This window comes from Homo sapiens, chromosome 4 (genome assembly GCF_000001405.40).
Source record: "Homo sapiens chromosome 4, GRCh38.p14 Primary Assembly".
NCBI lineage: Eukaryota > Metazoa > Chordata > Mammalia > Primates > Hominidae > Homo > Homo sapiens.
Genome location: NC_000004.12, coordinates 167,585,369 through 167,594,481, shown reverse-complemented (window position 1 = coordinate 167,594,481; position 9,113 = coordinate 167,585,369). Strand labels below are relative to the sequence as shown.

Below are 9,113 nucleotides of genomic sequence, written 5' to 3'. Positions count from 1 at the left end.
GCTTTTTAGATGAAAGGGCACAGAAGTCTGATCCAAGAGCAATGGAGAACATTGATACAGAATTATGCTCAGGGAGTAGAATAGCACAATGAACTAAGAACCCTCCCTTGGAGATGCAGAGGCCAATGAGCTGGGAAGTCAATCAGTGCATAAGGAATAAGATCTAGGTCTTCCATGTAAGAAGAAAAAATATTCTTTAATAATGAATAATGTAGAATAATAGAATTAGAAAGATATATTGTAAGATTGTAGCATTTATATTGCTTCTTAGAAATAAATTAAATTTAGTAAATATATCAAAAATTAAAAAAAAAATTCCGAGCCCAAGTAGTACAGGTATATTGACTTTAAATTGATCACATTAAAATTAAAATTATTATTACAAATCCAATATTGAGTATATTTTTGCATAAATCAAAGTTGTACTATATATACGTAAGCTAACAATGAAAGGAAAATCTACTATGTGTTAATCTTGTAGTGAATTGTAAATAAATTCGAACCTAGAATATTTTAATATAAGAATTTAAGAGGTTAAAAGTAAGTTTATAATATGTTGGGGCAAATATTTTCAGATTTATTACAGAAATGTGAATTTGGAAAGAGACATTTCTGGCACATGTTCTGAAAATTAATAACAATATTTTAGAAAAAAAGGCTGCATTATAAATCATATAAATAGGGCATAATTCCAGATCATTAACTTTCATACAGGAAATGAGTCTAGATATTATTTTGGAAGAGATGTAGAAGACTGAACACTTATTCTGAATTCTTCACTTGAGTTCAAAAAGCCTAACTCGTTATTTCTGAATGCAACTAATGCATTCAGACATGATACCCCTCTCTGCAAAATTTTAAACAATTTCTATGATATAAGATCTCTGACTACATCTCTTTAATGATTTTGTGTTTGTGTGTGTGTATGTGTGTGTTGAGAAAGAGGGAGGGAAGGAGAGAAAGAGGGTTGTATCTTTCTTTCTTCTTCTTCTTCTCCTTCTCCTTCTTCTTTCTTCTTCTTCTTCTTTTTTTTTCAAGACGGAGTCTTGCTCTGTTGCCCAGGCTGGAGTGCAGTGGCGCGATCTCAGCTCACTGCCAGCTCCACCTCCCGGATTCACGCCATTCTTCTGCCTCAGCCTCTTGAGTAGCTGGGACTACAGGCACCCGCCACCACGCTCTGCTAATTTTTTTTTTGTATTTTTAACAGAGATGGGGTTTTGCCATGTTAGCCAGGATGGTCTCGATCTCCTGACCTCGTGATCTGCCCGCCTTGGCCTCCCAAAGTGCTGGGATTACAGACGTGAGCCACCGCGCCCGGCCGTATCTTTCTTCTTGATAAGCTGCAATTTCTGCACTGTGATTCTCAGTCTAGTAGTTGTTCTGTAGATTTCTATGATGGTACTTTTATTTTCTCAACTGATGATGATGCCCAGCTGCTCTTACAAGCTGAGAATTGACCCAGTTAAATTACATAGTCAGTAATAACACTTACACTCTGATTATTGTAACTTATGATCCATACACAGTCATTACATTTCAGTTTATATGATCATCTTGGTGATAATGGGAGATACTTCAGTCAACATAATTTTTCTCTTCCAGATTGAAAAAGATACTAGCACCAAGCTTTATTCTGGTTATTCAGTGATGAAAATTATAACAAATTTTGACAAAGAATAGACAAGTTCCCCAACTGTGCCTCTTTCCAAGCTCTTTGGTTGCGTATATTATCTGGCAGGAAAAAGAAGACCTGAAGTCCAACCTGAGGCATGTTTGTCAGCTTATTTGCCAGTTATGTTCCTTCTGTGAAGTATATCAGGAACCCAAATGGCTGACATAGTTTAGATGTGTTACGTGTGCATTTGTTGCAGGCATTGATCTACTACTTTCTCAAATGGATTTCTGTCTGAAGTAAATATGAAATAATAGAAATGATTTTAATAAAAAATTTATCAAAAATAAATGGTACACATGAAAAACAATTATGTTGCAATTCTAGTAATATTGCTGTTTGCTAAAGCATTATTTTAGTATTGCTTTCAGTGTCTACCCAGTGGTGGGCTGGAGCTAATGGCACCATCTCAAGAGGCAATTATGCACATCTTTTCATAGTTCCGTGTTTGCTGATACTCCACATAGGTAGCTTAAAATTGGCATATCATAGAAATTGGCAAACCCTGTAAATCAATGTTTCCCACCTCTGGATTATTTAACCTGTTGTTAAATATTTACCACTACAGCATACTACTGGATCTACTCTCTATTTTTTTTCTTTTTATTTTCTTATTTTAAAGTTCAATATATTGTATTATTTGATCTCCTCCTGTCTCTTCTGAGACCCTAGAAATCACTATTCTGCTCTCTACTTCTATGAGTTCAACTTTTTTAGATTCCACATATAAGTGAGATCATGCAGTATATGTCTTTCTGTTCCTGGCTTATTTCAGTTAGTATAATATCCTTCAGTTTCAGCCATGTTGTTGCAAATAAGAATTTTTTTAATGGTTAAATAGGCTTGTATTTTATATAAATAAGTGGCATATATATATATATGCCACATTTATTAATACATTCAACCATTGATGAAAACTTAGGTTATTTTTATAGCTTTGCTATTGTGGACAGTGTTGCAGTAAATATGGAAGTGCAGATATTTCTTGAACATAGTAATTTCATTTCCTTTGGATATATACCTAGAGAAGAATTGCGGATCACGTGGTAGTTATATTTTTAATTTTTTGAGAAACCTTCATAGTGTTTTTGGTGATGGCTCTACTAATTTACATTCCAACCAATAGTGTATAAGCATTCTCTTTTTCTCCATGTTCCTGCTAATATTTGTTTTCTTTTTTCTTTTTGATAATAATCATTCCAACAAGTATGGGGTGATACCTCACTGTGGTTTTAATTTGCATTTCCCAGATGATTAGTGATGTTGAACATTTTTTTCATATATTTTCTGGCCATTTAGATGTCTTCCTTTGAGAAATATCTATTTTGATTCTTTGACCATTTTTAATGTTGGGCTTTTTTTCACTATTAAATTGCTTGAGCTCCTTATATGTTTTGGATATTAACTCCTTACCAAATGTATAGTTCGCAAATTCTTTCTTCTGTTCTACAGGTTGTCTCTTCACTCTGTTGATTATTTTCTTTGCTTCCCATAAGCTTTTTAGTTTAATGCAATCCCATTTGTTGGTTTATGCTTTTGTTGCCTATGCTTTTAGGCTGATAGCAAAAAAGTCATTGCCTAGACCAATGACAGGAAGGTTTTCCCCTCTGTTTTCTTCTTGTAGTTTTACTGTTTCAGGTTTAACATTTAAGTCTTCAATTCACTTTGAGTTGAATTTTTATATACAGTGTGAGGTGTATCCAATATCATTGTTTTTGCATGTGGATATCTAATTATCCCAACACTACTTACTAGAGAGACTGTTATTTGCTCATTGTGTGTTCTTGACATCTATGTCAAAGATCAGTTTATCGTAATTTTATAGATCTATTTCTGAGCTCTCTATTGTGTTCATTGATCTGTATGTCTGTTTTCTTGCCAATACTATGCTGTTGTAATTTAGTATAGCTTTGTAGTATATTTGAGATCTGTGATGCCTCCAGCTCTGTTCTTTTTGCTCAGGATTACTTTGGCTATTTTGGGTCTTTTGTGGTTTTATCTGGCGGTTTATATTTACCCACAGTTTTTTTCTTTCCTATATTCTTCTTTCTTCTTTTCTGATTTTCCAAGTTTTTAAAGATCAGTTTCTGCTTGTTTCAAAACTTCCTTTAGCTATTTGTTTAGGGTAGATCCTCCAGTCACAAATTCCCTACTCTTAATTTATCTGAGAATGTATTTTTTTTTTTTTCATCCTATAGGGTATCTTTTCTAGATACAGAATTCTGGATTGCCCTTTTTTCTTTTAGCACTTGAAAAATTTGATATCACTTCCTTCAGGTTTTCATGATTTTTGACTAAAAATTGACTGTTATTTAAATTGCCCACCCCCGCTTTCATGGGTAAAGTGAAGTTTCTCTCTTACTGCTTTCAAGATTTTTTTCTTTGTCATTAGTTTTCTGAAGTTTAATTATAATAAATCTTGATGAGGATTTCTTTGTTTATCCTGTTTGTGTTTGTTCAGCTTCTTGAATATGTAGGTTTTGGTCTTTTTTACAAGGTTGGGAAATTTTCAACACCATCCTCTTCCTTCTCTCCTTCTGAGACTTAAGTGATAAAAATGTTAAATCTTTTGAGAATTTCCATTTGCTGAAGTTCTGCCTATTTCTTTTTAAAGTCTGTTTTCTCTCAAGTTGGCTGTTTTCTGTTGTTTTGTCTTTGAGTTCACTTGTTCTTTCCATTGCCCTCTTCATTCCGCTATAAGGCACATTCTTTCAGATTTTTAATTTGAGTACTATATTTTTCAGTTCTAAAATGTTCATTTTCTTCTTATTTATATCTTCTATTTCTTTTCTGAGACTTTGTATTTTTTGCTGAGATTTTTGATGTTTTTATTTGCTTCAGATATGTTCATAATTGCAAATTTAAGTATGCCAGCTGCTTTAACATTCTTTTTAGATCATTCTAGCACCTGTGCTATCTCAGTGCTAGCATCTGTTTATTGCCATCTGTCATTTTAGTATTGTCCTGCCTCATAGTATGATGAGTAATTTTTCATTGTATTCTGGACTTTTGGGATGTTATGAAAAGCTGGGTCTTATGTAAATCTTGTCTTTTAGCAGGTCTAGGATACTGCATCAGCAAGAGAAAGGAACCCTCCTTTTTATTACCAGGTGGAGATTAAAGTCCAGGTTCCTCACTCAACCTCCTTTGACAGCAAAGAAGGAGTGCCTTATTATGGCTGGTATTTCAGGCTCCACACTAGACCTCCACTGATACTATCCTTACTGGGAGGAGGAGGGAGGTCTCATTATAGCTCCCTATGTTACCACTGCCGAAATAATAGGGTGCAGGTTCATTATGCTGTGTGGTGATAGGAATCCTGAATCTCTTCTATGCCTCCTTTGACACCCCCAATGGGGAGAGGGAAGGCTGCTTTGTTAGTATTTGATGAGGTAAAATCTAGGTTTCCCACATATTTTCCATCAACAAAGGAGAGGCTAATTACTGCCCAGCAGGGTTAAGGGTCCTGGATCCCAATTTACACTCATCCTTTTCTGGCATCTACACAAAGATGCTAGGGAGTTTGGCGTGTTGACAAGATTCTCTGCTTCACTACAATTTATTCAGGCTCCTGAACCTTCTCCTAAGTCCATATGTGCACTTCCTTTAAAATATAGTTTTAGCAAAAATCTACATTTTGCTAGCAAAAACCTCTATCCTTAATATCTGATCATCTTTGATGTCTGATCCAGTCCCTCATCCTCCACTATTCTCTAAGTGATGTAAGCCCTGTTAGGTTGGTTTGGCCAGAATCCTTCTTACACCTCATGTTTCCTCTTAGTAATTTTCCATCCACTGACCCTGCTCTACTCCTTGGCTTGTCCATGCAATGGGATCATGTAATGATCCTGAATACAGTCTTCCCAACCATGCGTTAACAAGTGTTATTAAATATTATTTTGTCTTTAACAGTGTCTTGTTACGGCCTGGTGAAGATGAAAGGTGGAAGTCTAGGTTCTCCACTCAGCTTTTGCTTACAGGAGTGGGAGTGGGACTGCAACAGTGGTATTCCATGGAATAGGGTGGTTGTTGTCTAAAAGCCTTATGTTTTTCTTGGCTGCCCCTTTCTTGGTCATTAAGCTGGAGAGAGCAGGCTTTTCATCAGCTTTTTAACTTGTGTTCCTTGGCATTTCTAGGTTGTTGACTTCTCCAGCACTAAGCCTGAGATAAATAAATCTGAAAAGGAAATTTAGGCAAGTTATTGTAGTGTCATTCCTTGGTTCCAAAGGTCCCTAGCAGCCTAACTTCTCACTAGCTTTCAGAGTCTTCTTGTATTTGTTTTATATGTGATTTCCAGGATTGTTAGCCTCACCTACTATATGAATAAGGAAAAATGTTTCTAATACTTCTTGTCTGGAACCATTGTCATCCCACATTTAAATAACCTTGATGTCAAATCCAGGTCATTTGCAGGCAATTTTGTTGCACATGCATGTATGTGTGTGTATGTGGGTGTGTGTGAAAAGATAAAAGATGTCACTCAGATTTAAGTCTGATGTGTAATCACAGAGAACAAAGTGTGTAATACTATTCTATAAAACACGAGCCAGTATAGGATTTGAAAATATTGTGATCCCAAGGTCAGGAGATCGAGACCATCCTGGATAACATGGTGAAACCCCATCTCTACTAAAAATACAAAAAAAAATTAGCCGGGCTTGGTGGCGGGCGCCTGTATTCCCAGCTACCGGGTAGGCTGAGGCAGGAGAATGGCGTGAACCTGGGAGGCGGAGCTTGCAGTGAGTCGAGATTGCGCCACTGCACTCCAGCCTGGGTGACAGAGCAAGACTGTCTCAAAAAAAAAAAAAAAAAGAAAAGAAAAAAGAAAAAGAAAATATTGTGACCCATGTTCATTATTTGCTCAGAAAGTATCTCTGATGCAATCTCAAATACCAGTTTCCCAAAATGTTTTCAAATATGGCAGAATTACTTGAAAAATATTATTATTTCTTAGTTTTTAAAACTATAACATGCATTTACATGTTTAGGTTATCTATCTTTTTAAAAAAATATTAATCTCATTACTTTAAAATCTCTAAAAAGCAATTCACCTCATTGCTTTAGAGTCTAACCGTTAAGAATCCACAGCTTTGTGATGGTCTTCTCAAATATCTTCTCAAGATACAAATATTTTGATATGGGATAACTTTTCCTTAAATCTTTAGTATTAAACAGAGGGTGATACCCTCACAACTGTATTAGTCACTGTTACTGGGAGATGGCACATTAGAGGAGCGAAGGTTGTTAGTTCTTGAGTCACAGTGACTAAGCTTTTATACTGACATTCGTCCCCTACTATGTGAGTAACCTTGAGCAGATTCCCCAAACTTTCCATGCCTCAGTTTTCTCATCTGAAAAATTATGATAAAAGCACCTCCAATAAATTATAATGCCATATACATAGATAATATGTGAAATCCTTAGGCAAGCGATTGGCGTCTAAAAAACACTCAGCAAAATATTAGCTATTAAACATTAATTATTCATGATCTTATCACTTAAATATATCAGATAGATTTTACATTACCTACCTCGGGTAAATATTTTTATTCAAATACTTAAAATTGTGTTTCTATCAAATGAAGACAGATTATCAGAGAGAGGTATATTATGGAATCTGTTATTTTTTAATGTTTCTTTCTTTTTTTATTCTATAGTGTGTCCTAAAACAAAAAATACAAATATAAATGTAAATGGATTACTAAGATTATCCATTTTTAACATTATATAACAAAATAGGTACATTTATTGGGCTCTTGTAGAGCTTGGAGTTCTTCTACATGCTTTTTATGGTAGTGTTATCTCCCATGTGCAAATTAGGAAGCTGGGGCACAGAGAAGATAAAAAAATGGTAAAAAGCCAAACAGTTATTATGAAATGGAGTCAGATAAAGTGGAGTCAGATAATAATGCTGCCTCAGAGCTCACGTTCTTGAGCACTACATCACATTTTCTTGAATGTATTCCTTGTACAATCTTAAATCCTTTTTAATAAATTATAAATCAGGAAAGAAAAAAATGTATACATGTATGTGAATTCTAATCATTACTGTATCATACTATAGTATAGGATCTTTTTGTTTTGTTTTATTTTGGTTTTGACACAGGGTTTTGCTCTTTCACCTAGGCTGAAGTGCAGTGGCATGATCATGGCTCACTGCAGCCTTCATCTCCCAGGCTCAAGCGATCCTGCAACCTCAGCCTCCCGAGTAGCTGGGATTACAGGTGCATGCCACTGTTCCTAGCTAATTTTTATTTATTTATTTTTATCTTCTGGAGAAATAGGGTCTTACTATTGCCCAGCTGGTCTTGAACCCTTGGGCTCAAGCGATCCTCCTTCATCGGCTTATTAAAGTACTGGGATTACAGGTGAGAGCTACCGCACTCAGTCACATATGATTTTTTTATACTGGAGTAAAACACAAAAAGTATGAGAAATCAACACAAATGAAGATCAGTAAACACATTTGTCAGTGCAAAAGAAACCTAGAAAAATTTTCAAAATTGAAACTCATTTTCACTCTCATTAATGTGATCGCAAAAAGTGATTAAAATTTTTAAATAACACTGAGAAAGATAACTTATTTTTAAATTTTTATTTCCTGCATTTTCATGATTATTTCCTTTTCAACTTGACATCACAATAGACACAGACAAAACCTATGCTATGAATGTTTTGAAAGGTATTTCTTTTCACTTTCCTAAACATGAGGGGGAAAAAAATGGCATTTCACATTGAGTAACTGACATCAGGGATGTGACTGTCTTGCAAATCTCAAGTTGTATGTCTAGAATCTTTTAGGAGTAGAGGCCATTAGTGCCAATTTGGGGCTTAGAACAGAAGAATTAGCAATGACAATAATTGTTACAATTTTGCTGTACAATTTTTAAAAGTACACCTGGAGTAGCTATATATGTATGTTTATATACTGATATTTAGATAGACATTGAGAGAGATAATTTTTAATTATACCTAAAAATAGTGCTCTTATTTAATTCTAACTTAGAAACCTAGAGACACTTCAAAAATACTATGGTTTCATGACAAATAATACAATTTTTTCTAGTATTTAGACATCCTTGAAAATGTAGTTTTATACCAATTTTCAATGAAAATTTACACAACAACCATTTGGGATCTTTTCCATTTTCACTTATGTGTAACTAAGTATATTAGATATAAATAATTCAGTATCCATGACAATGGTAAAGTAATTCATTACACTGATACTGTACCATTGTATTATCAGAAAAATCATCAGCGATTTCCTTATATCAGGTTATTGTATTTCTCACAGTTTTGGCATATTATATGTTGATGAACTATTCTCTCATAATCTGAGAAGTATCTGTGACATTTTATGATTTAAATAACTTTCATCATAACATTTTATGAACTTATATCAATCTATAACATCAGCAGTACAAAAATGCATTTTGAA

The 9,113-nt window shown here is 34.5% G+C and overlaps 1 annotated feature.

Annotated features, from left to right (window-relative positions):
• Positions 5,843–7,042: an enhancer, noted in NCBI's record as "MED14-independent group 3 enhancer chr4:168508591-168509790 (GRCh37/hg19 assembly coordinates)". NCBI's record gives its function as "activates an origin of replication core promoter dependent on BRD2, BRD4, P300/CBP and CDK7 cofactors, and independent of MED14, by STARR-seq in HCT116 cells {active_cell/tissue: HCT116}" and the evidence as "EXISTENCE:reporter gene assay evidence [ECO:0000049][PMID:35650434]".